The following is a 21,455-nucleotide window of genomic DNA, read 5'->3' as shown; positions in this document are numbered from 1 at the left end:
AGTGCTTTGAGACGCTACCATTACCATATTCTAAATTTCCTTATTTAGTTGTGTGTGTTCTGGACTTCATGTTCTATTCCAGTGTTATTTTTGTCTGTTCAGACACTACTACCATGTTGTTCTATTCTAGAAACTTTATAAAATGTTTTCTTATCTGACAGGGCTAGTCTTCCTTTATAGTTTAAAAGCCTGCATTTAAACCCCATTCTTATCTAACTTTAGCTAGAACCTCACTTACAGCAGTGTTTTACCTTGAATATTAGGAATTATTAATGGAAAGGAGAAATCTGATATTTAGAGGCCAGTTAGATTTGCCACTGATTACTACAGAGTTTTAGTGAAGGTGAAGTTAATTATCCTTTCCTAGATGGAGTTGAGGGAAGGCAACAGATCAGGCATCAAATGCTAGTACAAATATTACTTTCTTCTCTGGTCTCTTCATCTTGCCTATTTTAGAATAAAAAACAAAACAATAAGGACATTATGAGAATAACAAAGAGCAGTGAAGTCTGGACTAAAAGAAAGTGACCTGAGGGCTGGTGGCAGCTTTGCCACTGACATTTCTTGTGACTCTGGGAGAGCTGTTTCATCTCTTTGGGCTTTCATTTCCCAACTGCCATATGAGAGGGCTAGATTAAACATCTCAGTCTTTCCTTTTCTAATATTATATGACTCAACCTCGTAATTCTGCGTATCAAAAAGTCCCCTTCCTTGGCAATAACATAAAAGATCACAACTCAAGTTGGAGGTAATCATTAGCTGGTTGTCTATCAGTGAGTATATTTTAGGAGCTTATTGTGTATAAGCTCACATTCCCACTGGAACAATTTAGCATCACAATTCTAGTTTAGAAGTAAATTCTATTTGTGGGGCATAGTGGAGGCCAATTACCTAGTATGCCTCTGAGGATTCAGGAATTTTACTCACACCCTTATTTCACTATATATAGATAAACACTCCAAGGGATCTCAGCTTCTCCCTAATTCTGTATAGTGTTTAAATTAGAAGATGAGGCCGGGCGTTAGTGGCTCATGCCTGTAATCCCAGCACTTTGGGAGCCGGAGGTGGGTGGATCACTTGAGGTCAGGAGTTCGAGACCAGCCTGGCTAACATGGTGAAACCCTATCTCTACTAAAAATACATAAATTAGCTGGGTGTGGTGGTGCACACCTATAATCCCAGCTACTCAGGAGGCTGAGGCAGGAGAATCACGTGAACCCAGGAGGCTGAGGTTGCAGTGAGCTGAGATCGTGCCACTGTACTGTAGCCTGGGTGACAGAGGGAGACTCCTTCTCAAAACAAACAAAAAAAATTAGAAGATGAGGCTAATGTAGAATTTTAGGTCCTGGTAAGTGGTGGCTCACGCCTGTAATCCTAGCACTTTGGGAGGCCCAGGCAGGCGGATTGCCTGAGCTCAGGAGTTCGAGACCAGCCTGGGCAACACAGTGAAACCCCATCTCTACTAAAATACAAAAAATTTGGCCAGGTGCGGTGGCTCATGCCTGTAATCCCAGCATTTTGGGAGGCCGAGGCCGGCGGATCACGAGGTCAGGAGATCGAGACCATCCTGGCTAACATGGTGAAACCTGTCTCTACTAAAAAATCCAAAAAATTAGCCGGGCGTAGTGGCAGGCACCTATAGTCCCAGCTACTCGGGAGGCTGAGGCAGGAGAACAGCGTGAACCCGGGAGGCGGAGATTGCAGTGAGCCAAGATTGTGCCGCTGCACTCTAGCCTGGGCGACAGCAAGACTCTGTCTCAAAAAAAAAAAAAAAAACTAATTTGCTAGGTGTGGTGGTGGGTGCCTGTAGTCCCAGCTACTCAGGAGGCTGGAGAATCGCTTGAACCCAGGAGGCAGAAGTTGCAGTGAGCTGAGATTGCGCCACTGCACTCCAGCCTGGGCGACAGAATGAGACTCCATCTCCAAAAAACAAAAAAGGTCCTTTTTCTCTAATAATTTTGGTAAATTCTTCCATTGTCATTTAACTCGTGATCTATTAGACTGTAGTATGCACATTAGTTATGGCTTATTGTGCTCTTGTAACAAATACAATACATGCCTTTGAGTGGTGTGATGTATTGCTGGTGAGTCTGTAATGTCTGAAGAATACTTGGAATACATATGTCTAACTGGGGAATCAACCTCTGGGTTATTTTTTATCATTTTATTTTATTTTTCATTATTTCACTAGTTGTATAATGGACAGATATTCACATATTAAACAATATGGCAACATTCTAGAAGAGTGTATAAATAATACATTAATAAAAATGTGTACATTTTGTGAGGTATAGAGATATCTCCCTGTAATGAAGGGAAATGAAAATAATTAAAATATGAGCAAAATTACGTGAAGATATATGGTCAAATTTAAAAGCGGTAAATTATGAGATTATCCAGAATTCTAATATAACTCAACTGGGAGAACTTTAGACTACTCTTTCTACCAGTATACTTGATTTTTAAAAAAATTATCACTGAAAAAAATCCAGAATTTTAATGCTCAAATAATATTGAAGAATGAATAATTATAAAGCAACAAGGGAAAAGCAATTGAAAATTAAAATGGATTTTTTTTTTTTTGAGACAGAGTTTCACTCTTGTTGCCTAGGTTGGAGTGCAATGGTGTGATCTCAGCTCACTGCAACCTCTGCCTCCCGGGTTCAAGCGATTCTCCTGCCTCAGCCTCCCGAGTAGCTGGGATTACAGGTGCCCGTCACCACGCCCAGCTAATTTTTTGTATTTTTAGTAGAGATGGGGTTTCACTATGTTGGCCAGGCTGGTCTTGAACTCCTGACCTCGGGCAATCCACCCACCTTAGCCTCCCAAAGTGCCGGGATTACAGGCGTGAACCAGCGTGCCCAGCCCTAAAATGGAAAAAATTTAAAATTACTTAGACAATGTGATGTCATCAAAGGAACCCTAAGTAAGAGAAAGAAAAACTATTCATAAACCTGCAAGAGACACTAATTATTTTATTTATTCATCCATCCATCTGTTCTGTCTTGAGCCATGTACAGGATTCTAGCTGGTGTACCACTCAACTGATTATTTAATTACATTGAGTTGTGGTTTTTTTCATTTATAGTTGGGTTCTGTTGGTTTCAAACAGACATTTGCAAAACAAATGTTAAGAGAAAGGGAGCATATTATGAGGATACATGTACCCCGGAACGGAAACTCCAGCAAGGACTAGCAGCTTTCTCTATGTGATGGACCACCTAGGGTCTCTCTGTCAAGATTGCTGCTGCTTGCTGAGGATTATTCCCTTAGGCCTTGATATGAGCTCCTATGCCTGAAAGGCTGCCCCATGAGGCCTCTTTTTTTTGCATTCTTTTGGCTTTAGATTCACTCTTAACAGCCACATTCTTTTAATATTTATTAAATTCCTGAAAGTAGATTAATCTGATTGGTTGGAGCTCTTTTCTTCATTACAGGTCACAAAATACGTTATTGATCATTCAATTGATTGGCTTTCAGTCAGATGCCCACACCTGACTCAAACAGCTGTGCTGGAGTGGTTGAAATCCTGTGGTACTTCATGAGCAGCTATGGCTCTCAGCAGGGGTGGGATGAAGAAGTGGTTTTCCTTAAAAAAGACTGTGGGCTGGCATTTCCCCATCACTGTCTGATAAAAGAAAGCTAATACCTGACTTCCATGGTTGTAGGGTAATCCTTCTAAAAATTATCCATAATTCCCAACTCTCTGCTGGATACTTTCTCAATTATGAACTACTGTGGCCCCTAGGTGTGTAAGTCTAGATTAAGTATTTAAGGCTTGTATCAAATCAGAAAGAAAACGTCCCTTACATCTTCACACCATTGATTATTTGTTTCATATTAATAAACCATTGTCAGTTGTTTTCTTGCTGTTATCAAAGCTGGAATAAGTGTATGTTTAGATGGACAAATGACCTGATGTTTGACTTTGATTCTTTGGAACAACAACTGTCTTCCTTCCAGGACATTTATTTTCATGGGCTTTCCTAATGGCCATGCCTGGTCTATCACAGCTGAGTTCCTGACAACTCTTGCATAGCTTCTCTTCACCAGCCATGTGTAAACTGCTAACATTCCACAACCCACATAGGACTTGTAAACCAAATAGAACAAAGAGCAGTTCCCTGCTGTGATCTACAGACATGAGCCACTCTTGTATTAGGTTTATCTTGTGACTGTAGGAGGAATTAGAAGAGTTAAAGATGCAAATTATATATTTTGACCTCTTCAGGGATTTGGACTTAAAATTTAAAAATAGGACTCCAGGCTCAATCCCCTGCCTTGTGTTTAAAAACAAAAACAAAACAAAACAAAACAAAAAACAAACAAACCTTAGTCTCAGATGTTCTGATTTTCTCTTTGTGTTTCTGTGTATTAAAGAACTTATCCGTGTATTCAGTCCATGTATTAAAGCATTTATCCCATGTGTTAAAGCATTTGTTTACATATCTATCTCCTGCTGTAGACTGTTGGTTCTTCAAGTGCAGAGACTATGTTTAATTTATCTATGTATTCCCACCTTCCAGCTTCTCTTTCTAGCACAGTACCTATACGTGCTAGATATGTAGTCAGTAGTTGTGGCATGAACAGATTGTTGAAAGAAAAGAAAAGATTGTTGAAAGATACTGACTTTAGAACATACCTAAATAAGTACTTGGGGATAACTTGGGCATCACCCAAGTTATATACTAGTATTTATTATAATTCATACCCATAAAACACTTGATACATTTTTCATCAGTACAGGCTTCCCACATAGGTGCACACATCTCTCTTAAACATTTTGCCAAAACCTCACACACAGAATTGAGTAATGAGGTTAGACTTCCTATTAGGTCATTTCTCTTGGCTGAGGAGGATTAAAATCCTGGAATTGGAATGAATGAGAACTAATAGTTTACAATTATATAAAATTTTTCTGCCCATACAGAAAAAATTTTGGTTCAACTCACACTTGACTTAATGTTCAGACCCTTCCCAGCTGCTACTATAGGATATACGTCTAAGGGAAAATATCCTATTTCTCTCGAACCTCCCCCAGTCTCTCTCTGTATTCTAAAACATCTGTGTAATTCAGGGAAGGCACCTGGATGAATCTGGCATGGCATGTAAAGGAAATGTGGAGGAACCTCTTTTGAAGAATCTCCTCTGATGTCCAGGAGAATAAAAGGGTTGTTTTCTTTTCTGGGCAATGAGAAGACAAAGACCCTTCCCCTCTATGTGAAGACTCAGTCTTATGTTGTAGTCACCTATGAATGGATTGTAACAAGTCTCATCTGGATCTCTTGAATTTTAATAATCTGCAGAAAGCTTCAGCAGGATCAGTAAGCTTTTTACAGCCAACAGATCTCTCTGTGGAATACTGCTCATCCTTGAGAAATTCTGCCTTGGTTTGGCTGGGAGGGGCCTTTCTGTGGCCAGTGATATTTGCTTGCATTCTTTGCTGTATCTCTCATATAACATACTTCCACTTGGGCTGATGTGACAATTACAAGTAGAAAAGGAGACTGAATTTTTCTCTGTCAGATTTTGTTACCTTTCACTGCGGAAGTGATGCCGGTCAGAATCTGCTCTTGCAGGATGCAGACTACTGCCACAATGGCTTTTTCCATTCTTTCATTTCCAACTGGTATCTGTCAGCTGGGGACCAAACTGGATACCAGGTTCCCACTATTCAAATATTCTGCTTGGAGACCAGACACATTGCATGTGTGCATTCTATTTATTACCACTTCATGAAGCCATTAGAAATGGAATTTTGCCCTTTTTAGATTTTTTTTTAAATTTAAGCATCTCAAAATGTTTTAAAGAACTGTAATTCTCAAAATCCTTTCACAGAGAAAGGAACACATCATTATTTCTGTCTGGTAGCAGTGGACATTTCTGGGCAGTTATGCTGTGTCTAACCCACAGAGCTCAGAATGAGGCTTGAGTTACTACTCTGAATGCTGGATGACTGTTCTTAACTCCTGATTCGTATGCTTGTAGAATTGAAAGGGGTGGTGGGGAATAAGCTTTTAAGACTAGCAGCTCTTAGGAAGCTGCTTGTTGCCTCCATATTACTAGTCTATAACATTGTTTTGAGGACCTCCCTTGACTTTATATAGCCTCAAATATATTGTTAAAATAGAAGGATAACAAAATAGTGAAATTAGTTGAATCTGGAGTACTTGAACAAGCTCGTTGCTTCCATATTTTATTTATCTACACTAGAATAGGTCTATAAGGTTGAACTGAATAGTTTTGGAGTCAGCTTTTTGCTGGCAATGGTTGATAGCAGTTCATTATGATAGCTGTTGAAAGTTAAGGATGTTCTTGATTCACTTGGTCCCCCTTTATTTTAGCTGGCTTCACTTAATTTTTTTGGTTTGTATTATTAAAGCCAAATGGAGAACTTATTTATTCTGTGTGTGATTTTTAAAGACAGTAGATATTCTACCCAGAACTACAAAATTAGCTTACTTTTTCCCTTGAAATTGACTTTATTTTCCTATTGGAGAGGGTGTAGTTTTTTTGTTTGTTTGTTTTTTGAGATGGAGTCTTGCTCTGTCGCCCAGGCTGGAGTGCAGTGGCACGGTCTCAGCTCACTGCAACCTCCACCTCCCAGGTTCGAGCGATTCTCCTGCCTCAGCCTCCTGAGTAGTTGGGACTACAGGCGTGTGCCACCATGCCCGGCTAATTTTCTGTATTTTTAGTAGAGATGGGGTTTCACTGTGTTGGCCAGGATGGTCTCGATCTCCTGACCTTGTGATCTGCCTGCCTGAGGCTCCCAAAATGGTGGGATTACAGGCGTGAGCCACCACGCCTCGCCGGGGTGTAGTTTTTTAAACAATCGAGAAAATATTTATATTCCATTTATTGATTTAAAGAAAAAATTTTTAAAGTTCCTACCAATAAAAGGATCTTCAGTGTCTTAGAGTGACCTTCCTCAGATCTTGAGTGAAGTCTAAACTGTGTGTGTGTGTTTTTTGTTTTTGTTTTTGTTTTTGATGGAGTCCTGTTCTGTTGCCCAGGCTGGAGTGCAGTGGCGCAATCTCGGCTCACTGCAACCTCTGCCCCCCGGGTTCTAGCGATTCTCCTGCCTCAGCCTCCTGGGTAGCTGGGATTACAGTTGCACACCACCACGCCCAGCTAATTTTTGTATTTTTAGTAGAGACGGGTTTTCGCCATGTTGGCCAGGCTGGTCTTGAACTCCTGACCTCAGGTAATCCCCCTGCCTCGGTCTTCCAAAGTGCTGGGATTACAGGCATGAGCTACCGCACCTGGCCAAACATGTATTTTTAAAATTTATTTTTATTGTGGTAAAACATACATAACAAAATTTACTATTTTAACCATTTTAGCTACACAGTTCAGTGCCATTAAATATTTTAACATTGTTTTGCAACTACTACCACCATCCATCTCCAGAACAATTTCATTTTCCCAACTTGAATTTTGTGCCTATTAAACAGTCAACTCCTCATTCTCCTTTCCTCCTCAGCCTGTAGCAACCATCATTCTCCTTTCTGTCTCTGTGAATTTGTTTACTCTAGGTATCTCGTATTAGTGGAATCACACAGTATGCATCCTTTTGTGTCTGCCTTATTTCACTTTTAATGTCTTCAAGGTTTATTCATGTAGCATGCATCAGAATTTCCTTCTTTTTGAAGTCTGAATAATATTTTATTGTATGTATATACCACATTTTGTTTATCCATTAATCTATAATGGACATTTGGGTTGCTTTCACCTTTGGGCTATTGTGAATAATGCTGCTATAAACATGGACGTGCAAATATCTATTTGAGGTCCTGCTTTCAATTCTTTTGGGTATATACCCAGGAGTAGAATTGCTGAATCATATGGTAATTCTATAGGTAACTTTTTGAGGAACTGCCGTACTGTTTTTTACAATGGTTGTACCATTTTACATTCCCACTAGCAGTGCACAAGGGTTCCAATTTCTCTATATCCTTGCTAACACTTGTTTTTTTTTTTTCAAATCTGTAATAACATCCTAATGAGTGCGAAGTGGTATCTCATTGTGGTTTTGATTTGCATTTTCCTAATGACTAGTGATATTAAATAGATACTTAATATGTGCTTATTAGCTATTTATGTATCTTGTTTGGAGAAATGTCTTCAAGTTCCAAGTCCATTTTTGAATTGGGTTGTAGGAGTTCTTTACATATTCTGGGTATAAATCCCTTTTTAGGTATATTTGCAAATATTTTGTTCCATTTTGTGTGTTGTCTTTTTACTTCTTTGGTAGTGACCTTCGATACACAAAAGTTATTAATTTTGATAAAGTTCAGCTGATTGATTTTGAGCTGTGTCACTCATGCTGTTGGTGTCATATTTAAGAAAGCATTGCAGAATCCAATGTCACGAAGCTTTTCCTCAATGTTTTATTCTAAGAGTTTTATAGTTTTAGCTCTTGAGTTTAGGTCTTTCATCCATTTTGAGTTGATTTTTATGTATGGTGTAAGGTAAAGATTCACTTCATTCTTTGAGAGGCCAGGGTCAGAGGATCACTTGAGGCCAAGAGTTTGAGATCAGCCTGGGCAATATAGTGAGACCCCATCTCTAAAAAAATAAAAATAAAATAAAAATTAGCCGAGCATGGAGGTGTGCATCTGTAGTCCCAGCTACTTGAGAACCTCAGGTGGGAAGATCATTTGAGCCAGGAGTTTGAGGTTACAGTGAGCTATGATTGCTCTACTGCACTCCAGCCTGGGTGGACAGAGTGAGACCCTGTCACAAAACAAAACAAAAAATAAACAGATGACCTGAATAGTCCTATAGAATGGAGAAACTGGACTTCATCAAAATAATAACTTCTGCTCTTTGAAAGATATAATTGAGAAATAAAAGTAAACAAATACCACAGTTTAAAACCTGACAAAAGAGTTGAACAGATACTTGGTCAAATAATGGCACTGAGTGACAAAAACAACATTAAAAAATGCTCAACATCAGCCGGGTGCAGTGGTCACGTCTCTAATCCCAACACTTTGGGAGGCCAAGGCGGGTGGATCACTTGAGGTCAGGAGTTAAAAACCAGCCTGGCCAACATGGTGAAACCCTGTCTCTACCAAAAAATACACAAATTAGCCAAGTGTGGTAGCGCCCACCTGTAGTCCCAGCTACTCGGAAGGCGGAGGTGGGAGAATTACGTGAACCTGGGAGGCAGAAGTTGCAGTGAGCTGAGATTGCACCACTGCACTCCAGCCTGGAAAGACAGAGTGAGACTCTGTCTCATAAAAAGAGAAGAGAAAAGAAGAGAAGAGAACAGAAAAAGCTCAACATCAATAGTATTTAGGGAAATGCAAATTTAAACTACAGTGAGCAAGCCTACATGCCCATTAGAATGGCTAAAATTAAAAACACTGACCACACTGAGTTTTGACAAGGATATGGAAGAACTAGAACTCCCATACACTGCTGCTGAGAATGCAAAGTTGTACCACCACTTTGGAAAACAGTTTGGCAGTTCCCTACAAAGTTAAACACATACCTACCATATGACCGAACCGTTTCACTCCTACAAATTTACACTAGTGAAAAGAAAGCATACGTCTACACAAAGATTTGTACATGAACATTCATAGCAGCTTTATCTATAATAGCCAAAAACTGGAAACAATCCAAATATCCACTAGCAGGTGAATGGATAAACAAAGTGTGGTAGTATATCCAAACAACAGAATACTTCTCACTAATAAAAAGGAACAAACTACTGATACATGTAACAACATGGTTGAATCTCAAAATCATTATGTTGAGTGAAAGAAGCCCAACAAAGACAGAGTATCTACAAAATGATTTCACTTATATGAAGCTCTACAAAATGCAAACTAATCTTTAGGCACAGAAAGCAAATCAGTGGTTGCCTGGTAATAGGGGTAAGGAGGTAGGACAAAAAGTAGCGAATGCAAAGGGGCATGAGAAAAATTTTGGTTGGTGGATGGGATATGTTCACTATGTTGCCTGCCGTGGTGATTTTACAAGTGTACACATATGTCAGAGCTTACAAGTTGTACACTTCAATATATGTTATTTATTTTTTGTCAATTACCTCAGTAAATAAATTGCATGCTATTTTCAATTATCTGTGCAATTCTACCCTTCTTTAGGTCATTATTATTTCTTTTTGTAATTGTGTTGCTGTTTGTCCGTGGCAGAAAAGTTGATCTCAATTTGAAGAGTTGGAGACATTTCCTTTGGTGGAAGCAGGAATGGGTAACTTGGGAAAACGGAATGAAAATTTGAAGCACCATTGTTTTTCTTTTCTTCTTCTTTCTTCTTCTTCTTCTTCTTCTTCTTCTTCTTCTTTTCTTTTTTTTTTTAACAGAATCTCTCACTCTGTTGCCCAGGCTGGAGTACAGTGGCATGATCTCGGCTCACTGCAACCTCCGCCTTTCGGGTTCAAGCAATTCTTCTGCCTCAGCCTCCCGAGTAGCTGGGACTACATGCATGCACCATCACGCCTGGCCAATTTTTGTATTTTTAGTAGAGATGGGGTTTCACTATGTTGGCCAGGCTGGTCTCAAACTCCTGACCTCGGCCTCCCAAAGTGCTGGGATTACAGGTGAGCCATTGTGCCCAGCCAGCACCATTGTTTTTCTGTGAGATGTGGCAGTAGTCTGTAAGGTTTATTATTTGATTGTTAATGGATAGCCTGTTTAAGGAGCACGGGATCTGGAGGCATAAAAAATTGTGCTTTGCCATTTACTGGTTCTTACTAACATTGGGAAAGCTGCCGAATTTCTAAGTGATAGTTATGTATCTCAGGGTTGAGGACAATCATTATGAACATATTCTGGTCAAGAATCAGTTGTTTTAAGCAAATAAACCTTCTTAAACTAGTTTAAGCAAAAAAGGGAATGTAGTCACACTATATAGAGGTTTCTAATGAATGCTGGGGCAAGAAGTTCAGCTGGGGCCTCAGGAGGAACTGTAGAATGAAGGGGAGATCACTTTCTTATATTTGCTTCTCATCAGCCATCTCCCTGCCCCCATGACCCCCTCCACCAGCCCATTTAGCTCAGAAACTTCTGTTTCTCTGTGCACATGGACCAAATACATATCCATTCTGGACCTAGCCCTATATCAGTTTCTAACTCCCAGAATTGATTGCCAGCTCCTAGTTTTTAGCAGAAACTTTCTAGAGTTCCTGAGACATGATAAATTCTTGAGAGGTTATTTGACTGGCTTACTTGGGTTCTGGGGTCCATCAAGGTATTAAGAGCCATGAAGGGAAGGGTGGTCATATAACCTACTCACTAGGGGTTTGAGAACAGAGCGGCCCTTGAGAAGGGCTGTATAAGACAGGCACATTGCATACTACATGTGCTATGGAACCTTGGTATTCTGTGGACCAGCAACATCAGCATCACCTGGGAGTTGGTGAGGGATGCAGAATCTCAGATCCTGCCCCAGACCTACTGCATTTTAACATGACACATGCACCTTAAAGCTCAAGAAGCACTGCTATAGAGAAGGGTTTCTCCACCTCAGCACTGCTAACATGTGGTCCTGGGTCCTCCGTTATTGTGGGGGTCTGTTCTGTGCATCGTAGGATGATTAGCGGCATCACTGACCTCTGCCCACTAGTTGCCAGTAGCAACTCTCCTACCACAAGTCGTGACAACTAAACATGTCTCCAGACATTCCCAGATGTCCCTGGAGGGAGGAAATTGCCCTAGCTGAGAATCATTGCTATAGAGGATGAAAAGAAATAACATATAAAGTGTTTTATAAACTGTTAGTCTGTACAAATATTAGTCAGTCTCGTGGGATTTTCCCGCCAAAATCCAAAGCCCGTGTAGAAGGGAAGGTTTAATATCAGGCTTTTGTGAGTTTTTATTTCTTTATAATGTCAGGTTTTATAACTTTCTTGTGAACTTTACTATATTAATTTAGAAAGCCATTTCTTTTCATTTTCCATTTTTGAGATATAGTGGAAAAATGTTTATTCATGTAGGTACCATGTACACATTAAATCTTGAACCTAGCCACTTGTGTAATTGTGCTTGTTTTCTATAAAATACCTTCTGTTACTGAACAGTGAGACCTTTTCAGAGAAATCTCTTTGGGAAGTTCAGGCTATAATCATTCAGGATGTTCCACTGCTGTGGCCAACTGTGGGGATGCAAAAACAGATCAAATCTAGTTCAGATAATTAAGTTCTAAAACACAGATGTTTGAAGCTCATCAAAATAGATTATAGAAGCTGAAATCATTATAGTAGCTTCCTGTAAACGTTTAACAATGAATAGTAGAAGTAAATATTTTCTCAATTTCAATTTCTTCTTTTGAAGAAGAAACCAAGGTATCCTTTCCAGAGGGACTTTGCTGGCTTCACCCAATGTGGAGTAAAAGTTTCTTTTTCACATCCTTTGCTTCTTATGCTACTGTATAAATTCTTCTCTGAAAGGAAGGAGCCTATTGCAGTAAGCACATTGGTATGTTCTCAGTGAGTATTTGTGGGATGGAAAGAAGGAAGGACCAAAGAGCAAGCAGACAAGCCAGGATGCTGCACAACATGCTGGCTCTGGCCGCCCCTCTCCATGGAACACAACTGTTGTGTTCAGTGTCATGCTGAGAGCGTCTGGACAGAAGGGCCTTTCAGTTCCTGGATATTTTCTCTCCAAAAGTCTGACTCTAAGGACATATTAAGCAAATTAATTCCCTTTTTGTCAGCATACCTAATGCTTGTCCCTCATTGTGAATGGAGTTCCTTCATTGTTTTAGGCCAAAGAGCCATTTTAAAACATGGATCTGTGCATATTTTAAACTAAAATGAAAAGATGTGTGCATAATTTGTTCCCATTTCTAGGGTTTAATATCCATATTAAAAGGCTGAAAAGGGCTTGTACAGATCGGCTCAGGCCTTGTTTCTAGCCACTCCTTGTTGGGGTCACCTTGAGTATGAACAATTGGATTTGAAAGATTCATTTCAACTTAAAATCTTTCACCATAGAAGAGAATTGACTGATACTGTTGTGCATGTCTGAGGATGATGAATAGCCCTTTTCTCCCTCGCCCAATAGGAGGTGGATAGCTTCTGAACATTTCTTAATGCAGAACTCAATAGCCAGCCTCAGAAGTAGTAATTGCTGGATCTGTGATCCAACTTTTTGTGTGTACATTAGGTTTACTCATTAAAGTCTCACATGCAAGGGCAGAAGGAAGCCATTCTCACTGCAGAATGAATTTTAAAGAGGAAATACTTTTACTGTAGCTTTAGACATTAAGGTACCAAGTGCCAAGACATGTTTTTCTTGTCAGCAAAAGGATAGGGACTTAAAATCACCTTCGGGTCGTGTAGGTTTTCTGGGTTACCCACAGTGGCAGCCATGAACTAAACTTGGGATTTTCCCTCTTTTGAAAACATGTGGGTGTTGTGTTCTGCTTTACCTCTCACATCTGGTGATCAGAGCTCTAGGTCAACAGGGGAAATGTCTGACTGTACATGCAGATTTGCAGTTTGTCCATAAAAGATTTAGTGCTGTTTTTTCAGCCCTCTGTGTCAGGCTTCAGCTGCATCAATGCTCATTAAAGAGCAGCAGCTAGGTGAACCCAGGCATATACACAGAGCTCCCATCAATATTGCAAGAAGTGGGTGTATAGCAGGCGGAAATGGAGGTGAGAGTTGGGGAGCTAAATTAGGCTCCTAAGGCAAGATCAGTAAAGCGTTATTTAACTACTTCCTGCATTTGTTTCAATAATTTTTATTGAGTAACCACTAAATGCCAGCCACTATTCCAGGTTCAAAGGATACAAAGTTGAATGGATAGATATGGTCTTTTCCTTCTCATATTCATAGTCTGTTAGGTTGAAGACACACAGAATAAACAATCATAACTTGATGATAAGTGCCACAGTAGAGGTCTGGACAGTGGACCCATTTCACAGAAAAAGTAACATGTGGACTAGGTCCTTAGAAGTTAAGTAGAATTCTCTAGTTAGAGGCAGAAGAGATAGGGCACTTTAGGGAAAGTAAACAGAGGTTGTCTCAGAAGCATGCAAGTCCGTGCCCTGTTTAGGACACAGCAGGGTGTTCCAGTGGTTTCAGTCTAAGGAGTGTCAAGCATGCAGGGGGACAAGACTAGATGGGCAGACTGAGGCTGTGTTATCATGGGGTTCATACCATACTGTGGATTTAGAATCTACCCAGTGTCCTAAGCAATGAGAAACTATCAAAGCCAGTTCTTGTCTTCTCTTGCTTAGCTCCCAACACCAATACCTTAAAGTTCAGCTTCACCTAGTCAATCCCTGACCAGGTGAGTCTCTGGAGCAAAGGTAACCCTGGGTTATTAGCTATTGGAATTTAGAATTAGTCTTGCTACCCTAAACTGTGGTATGTCCAGACACTCATAAGCTCCCTGAGCTCAGTAACTGGACCCTCACTCTATCCTTGTTCTCCTGGTTTTTGTGACTGGGCTTTTGCTTGCTTTTCTGATTAGCCTTCCAATTCCCAGTACTGGAGCTAGTCCAGACACTGAGTCTGTCTCTTATCAGTCCTCTTCCTCCTCCTAGGGCCCGTATTCTTCTTTCCATATTCCAGCTGCATGCTGGGATCCTGCTCCAACTAACAACTTTCCTGGAGCCACACCATCGTCACCTGCTCGTTGTGAGTCCCTGTTAATTCTTAAAGTTGTATACAACCTACCAAATCAGACTTCTTTATCTGTATTGTCTCACCTTTATCCACATTTGTTGCCTCCCTATGGATATAGATTTAGATGATACTAGGCCTGTATTCCTTCTCTCCATACTGTCAAGCTCATTCATTCTCCTCACCCTATTCTTGGCTTGTTTCAAATTTTTCCTATTCTCTACTAGTCACACTACATGCTCCAGCATGTCTGTGGCAAACATACTCTTAACGTGGGCCCCATGATTCCTGCCTTTCTTCATGCCCTTGTGTGATCCGTTTCCCTTGAGTATGGATGGATCCTGTGACTTGCTTCTAACCAATAGAACATGGCAAAAGTGACAGAATGTACATTATTTTGTGTATATGATTATGTAAGATTGTAGCCCTCATTTTGCTGGAGTCTCTCTCTCCCTTGCTGGCTATGAGGTAGCAAGTAGCTATATTGGGGAACCCCATGTGGCAAAGAACTTCAGGTGGCTTTGAGGAGCTGAGGGCAGTCTCCCCTGACAGCCAGCAAAAAACTGAAGCTCTCAGTTCTACAATTGCAAGGAACTGAATGCTGTCAACAACTGCACAAGCAGGGAAGCAGATCCTCCCCAAATTAAGCCTCCACATGAGAACCAGGTCTAGCTGACACCATGATTGCAGCCTTGCAGAGGACCCAGTGAAGCTATGCCTGGACTCCTTACTCACAGAACTGTGAGATAATAAATGGGTGTTATTTTAAGCTACTGAAACTGTGGAAATATTGTTACTCAGCAATAGATAACTAATACAATGTCTCAGTGGAGCAAAACAACATACAGCAATTAGAATATCTGTTCTGGCTAAATGCTTAGCATCTGGTAATTAGATGTGTAATTGTGCTTTATCAAACAATTTTTCTCTCTCCTACTAACATTCCTAAGGAAATGGGAAATTGCTATTTTCTACATGGAATTGGTTCATCACCTTAATTGTCTTATTCCTGAAACAGGTGTCCTAGATAAAGGACACCAGATGGGATCCAGCAGCTGCAGTAGGAAAACTCTGGAATCACAGAGACTCTGTTGAGTGTAACCTTGTGTGTAATAGAGGACAAAGAAAAAATAAAAGAACTCTTAAAGATTTTCTTGAGAGTGTTCAAAAGGTGTCAGTGGTGTCTAAAGTATAGTGATAAATGGTTCAGGATGAATGTTTGTCATCCCTTTTGAAACTGAGACACTTCACAAAGGTTTACTGGCAGAAAATACAAACATTTTCTAACGCATTTTTCAAATCTCTCAGTTTCATAACAGTATTAGGTTGATCTGTTATTTATGCATCATTCTCATATTAATTTTCCCATTTTGTTCTTTTGATCGTCAGTCATTTAACCTCTCTTGATCTTTGGTTAGGTGTCAAAATGGGATAATCTCTTATTTTACGTAGGGGAGAGTTAAAAATAACATTTCGTGAACACCTACTGAGTACTTTGCTACTTGTTTTGCATCTCCTATGAGCTTCTCCACAGTAGGTCTATGAAATGGCTGTTTTTTTTTTCTTTTTTTTTTTAACAAAGTCTCCCTCTGTCACCCAGGCCAGAGTGCAATGGTGCGATCTTGGCTCACTGCAACCCCTGCCTCCAGGTTCAAGCGATTCTCGTGTCTCAGCCTCCCGAGTAGCTGGGATTACGGGTGCCTGCCACCATGCCTGGCTAATTTTTGTATTTTTAGTAGAGAGAGGATTTCATCATGTTGGTCAGGCTGGTCTCGAACTCCTGACCTCAGGCAGTCCACCTGCCTCGACCTCCCAAAGTGTTGGGATTACAGGCGTGAGCCACCACGCCCAGACGAAGTGGGTATTTTTTTTTTCTTTATTTTTGTTAAGTGAGCAAAGCAAGACCAAGAGACGTTAAGTAATGTGCCCAAGTACATAGCTAGTAAGTCTCAGAGTCAGAACTTAATCCCACTGACTTCAAAAATGTCTTTCCATGACATCAGTGGTTCTCAAAGTATGGTTCATGGATTCCTTGGGGTTCCTGAGATCCTTTCAGGGAATCCATGAGGTCACAACTATTTTCATAATAATACTAAGATATTATTTGTCTTTTTTTTTTTTTTACTGTGTTGGTGTTTGCACTGACGGTATAAAAGTAATGGTGGGAAAAACTGCTGGAGCCTTAACATGAATCTGGACAGTGGCACCAAGCTGCACTAGAAGTCATTGTATTTTTGACTGCCATAAACTTGAAGTTAAAAGGGCTGGAGTGGGGTGGGGTGGGAGAGCCAGTTTGACTTAAAAATGTCCTCAATGAAGCTATTATAAGCATTAATTTTAATAAATCTCAACCCTTGAGTAGATCTTTTTAGTATTTGCAGTGATTAAATGGGTAGTACATGTAAAGCACCTGTGTTGCATACCAACTAATCACTGGTTGTCTAAAAGAAAGGCGCTTGTGCACTTGAGTTGTGAACTGAGTGGGTATTTTTTTATAGAACTTTTTTTTTTATGTGAAAGAATGACTGAAGAAAACTGTGGTTTTTGCAGACTTAATATTTGGAGAAATTTTATCAAAACTGAATGAGTGAAAAAAACTGAATGAATGTGCCTGTCACTTCAAGGAAAACAGTATTTGCTGCCAATTCATGCTTTTAAGGGAAAGATAGAGTTTGGGGAAACTTGTATTTACCACCGTGACTGTGAGAGCTTGACAACTTCCCAACACTTATTTTCTTGATGAAGTGGTGGTGAGTTTTTGATATTGTATAATGAAATTGTCAACATTTGGAAGATCTGTAGCCTTACTGAACAATATTTTCCAATAGCCAATGCATAATGTTATAAAATTATGAGTGGGCAAAAGAGCCACTGAAAGTGCAAGATAAACCAATGCATTTGAAAGTAACAGAGTACAGAAAGTTCATTGATATAGTCTTAAATTCCACATTGCAGCTAACCTTAAAAAAGCACGTGTCAAGTTTTGGTATAATGGTAAAGAATGATATTCACATCATCTATTTTCCAATTACATATCTATGTGAGGCTGTTTTTTAAAAATATATATTTCAACCAAAACAACATATTTCAACAGATTAAATGCAGAAGCAGATAAGAAAATCCAGTTGTCTTCTATTAAGCAAAAACATTAAGGATTTTAAAAAGTGTAAAGTGATGCCATTCCTTTCCTTATTTTGTTGTTTTAGAGGATATATGTTTCATAAAAATGTGTTATTTATATTAGCATGTAAAGGATTTGTAATTCTAATGGGTTAACAAATATTCAAAAATTCTAATGTCTTATACATTAAACATTGTTATGTACTGCATAACCCACATAAACAAAAGTTTGTTGGAATTGTACTTATTAAGTATATAAATGATCCTGAGACTAAAAAGTGTTTTTAGAACTGATGCATTATACTGTGCTGCTTCTTGTTCTTACATGCCTATGCTGAAACTAAAATAAAATATTATAAGCAGACTAACTTGATAAGTCACTTTAAAGATGCATATCATTTCACTAATGACAATAAATGTGCTTTGCCTTTATCCTGTTAGCCTTGATTTTGCTGTTGGAAAATAAATTTCCTGATATTAGGAGATTATATACAGTTATCACTTTCCTCTATCGCCACAATTCCTTTATACTAAATGGAATCCATAAATTAGATGTGACTTGGCTGAACTGATGTAATAGGTATATGGCAAAACTCATTGGATATTCATGTCTGAATTTATTGTTAGGTCAGTTATAGATTTTTCTGGCAATCTAGATGTTTCTGGCACTCAGTTTTTTATTTTTATTTTTTGCATGTGCATAGTAGGTATATATATTGATAGGGTACATGAGCTCTTTTGATATGCAGTGTGTATCTTGTGTAGTCATTAACACTCAGCTATTAGGAGAGATGGCTTCTCTGACTTGGACCATTTAATACCACCTAATGAATATGCTGTAACTTGTTGCAGCAAATCTCTTGCCTATATCTGAGGGTATTTGTTATTTTCTCCACACTGAAGCTAAACGTTTCATCACATGAAATGTTTATTATTGAAAATAAGACTGGGTGCGGTGGCTCATGCCTGTGATCCCAGCACTTTGGGAGGCTGAGGAAGGACGATCGCTTGAGCCCAGGAGAAAACTAGCCTGGGCAACACAGGAAGACCCTGTCTCTACAAAAAATAAAAAATTGCCAAGCATGGTGGCATGCGCCTGTGATCTGAGCTACTCGGAAGGCTGAGGTGGGAGGATCACTTGTGCCTGGGAGATTGAGGCTGCAGTAAGATGTGATCACACCACTGTACTTCAGTCTGGGTGACAGAGTGAGACTGTGTCTCTAAAAAATTTTTTTTCAAACTAAAAAAATATTTATTGTCATCAACATCATTAGAGGACCTCAGGATCAGTAATGACTATGATATTGCTGCACCTTTGTAAATGTTGTCAATATCCTTTCCTCCTTATTGACTACCTCTTGCTTTGTTTTTTTAACCTTTCCTTTGTATGTAAATGAGACTGTCATGTAAATTCAGTTCACTAGAATTACGTGTAGCAAAGATGATATAAACACAATCTATTCCTTACTACTCCCCAATTTACAACACATAACTCATGTGTTAACATGTCTCTCACTCCAAATACCTTATGGCTGAAGGAGAGTTAGACTTATTAATGAATTTGTGCACCAAAGGTTCAGGCCAAGCTTACCTCCTCTTTGAAGGCTTTTCTTACTTTCTTTGCACTCCCACTCATTGAACATAGTCCAAGTTGAATTGACCACTCCTTCCTTCATGCCCTGATGATATGGACTTCTTTCAAATCAGCTATGATAGCTACTATACTAGTTATATGCCAGGTCTTCATAGTGTACTCTAAGCCTTTCAAAGACAGAGACCATTTCTCATTCATTCATTCTGCAAATGTTGAGTACCTCTCTGTCTCATTGCTGTGCTGGAGGCTGAGGATGGAGCAGTGAGTGACCCAAAGTGCATCTCCTCTCAGAATTTAGGCAATTGTGTCTCAAATGCCTAGCCCTATAGGTTCTGCTATACAGTAAGGGCTTAACAAATGTCTGTAACATGGTGTAGGATGCTTTTCATTCACAGTACTTTTTGGTATTTAATTTTTAAGCAAGTCAAAATTTAATTAGCCTGTACTTTGTGCAAATATGGCTTTTTTCTCTCTGATTTCAAGAAAACCATTGTACCTAAGACTAAGAAAAGTTAATAAAAACATGCCTTATATTTGCACCATTCCTAATGATTTAAAAATATTTTCCCATGCTTATTTCATTTGATTGTTATAGTAACCATAAGATCAGTAAGGAAGATGGTTTTGTCCTCATTTTGCATATGAGCGATAGAACATCACTAGGATCCTAGTCTTCTGATTCAACACCAACTTACCTACATTCACAAACACATCCTCTCTCTTACACATACACACACACACACATACACACACACACCATGTGTGCATGCTTTAAAATCATTTTAGAGATTTGTCAAGATAAGCTTGCTTTTATTTCCATAGAGATGAATTCCATAATGAAGTTATTTTTATACAGAAGAAAATTTATCACCAAATAAGGAAGCAAGGAACAGAGAGGGCAGAGCAGGCATTATTTTTCACAGCAAAACCCAATTAATATGATCCATCATTGGAACCTCTACCTTCTTTTCATAGTGTGTGAGATAGTAGCACAGAGGTTGCAGTAGTGAATGAGCATGGAAACTCAGTGCTGGAAGGCACCATGCAGACCATCTGATCCAGTCTTCTTTATTTATTTATTTATTATTATACTTTAAGATCTAGGGTACATGTGCACAACGTGCAGGTTTGTTACATATGTACACATGTGCCATGTTGGTGTGCTGCACCCATTAACTCGTCATTTACATTAGATATATCTCTTAATGCTATCCCTCTCCCCTCCCCCAACCCCACCACAGGCCCCGGTGTGTGATGTTCCCCACCCTGTGTGCAAGTGTTCTCATTGTTCAGTTCCCACCTATTAGTGAGAACATGTGGTGTTTGGTTTTCTGTCCTTGCTTTAGTTTGCTTAGAATGACGGCTTCCAGCTTCATGCATGTCCCTACGAAGGACGTGAACTCATCCTTTTTTATGGCTGCATAGTATTCCATGGTATATATGTGCCACATTTTCTTAATCCATTCTATCCTTGATGGACATTTGGGTTGGTTCCAAGTCTTTGCTATTGTGAATAGTGCCACAATAAACATACGTGTGCATGTGTCTTTATAGCAGCATGATTTATAATCCTTTGGGTATAGACCAAGTAATGGGATTGCTGGATCAAATGGTATTTCTAGTTCTAGATCCTTGGGAAATCACCACACTGTCTTCCAAAATGGTTGAACTAGTTTACAGTCCCACCAACAGTGTAAAAGTGTTCCTATTTCTCCACATCCTCTCCAGCATCTGTTGTTTCCTGGCTTTTTAATGTTTGCCATTCTAACTGGTGTGAGATGGTATCTCATTGTGGTTTTGATTTGCATTTCTTTGATGGCCATTGATGATGAGCAATTTTTCATGTAACTGTTGGCTGCATAAATGTCTTCTTTTGAGATGTGTCTGTTCATATCCTTCACCCACTTTTTGATGAGGTTGTTTGATTTTTTCTTGGAAATTTGTTTAAGTTCTTTGTAGATTCTGGATATTCGCCCTTTGTTAGATGAGTAGATTGTAAAAATTTTCTCCCTTTCTGTAGGTTGCCTGTTCACTCTGATGGTAGTTTCTTTTGCTGTGCAGAAGCTCTTTGGTTTAATTAGATCCCATTTGTCAATTTTGACTTTTGTTGCCATTGCTTTTGGTGTTTTAGACATG

At 39.4% G+C, this 21,455-nt stretch overlaps 1 protein-coding gene and 1 non-coding gene across 12 annotated transcripts in view; both read left to right on the top strand.

The window, feature by feature from the left end:
* TTC28 (tetratricopeptide repeat domain 28) overlaps window positions 1–21,455 on the top strand; it is a 701,827-nt gene that overhangs the window by 444,155 nt on the left and 236,217 nt on the right. The window lies entirely within an intron of this gene.
* LOC124905171 (small nucleolar RNA SNORD42) lies at window positions 2,863–2,930 on the top strand. The gene has a single exon (XR_007068170.1). It is a non-coding gene; the product is annotated as a small nucleolar RNA SNORD42 (small nucleolar RNA).

The sequence above is a fragment of the Homo sapiens genome, chromosome 22 (assembly GCF_000001405.40).
Source record: "Homo sapiens chromosome 22, GRCh38.p14 Primary Assembly".
Lineage (NCBI taxonomy): Eukaryota > Metazoa > Chordata > Mammalia > Primates > Hominidae > Homo > Homo sapiens.
Note: the sequence above shows the minus strand (reverse complement) of the source record. Positions and strands in the feature narration are given on the sequence as shown.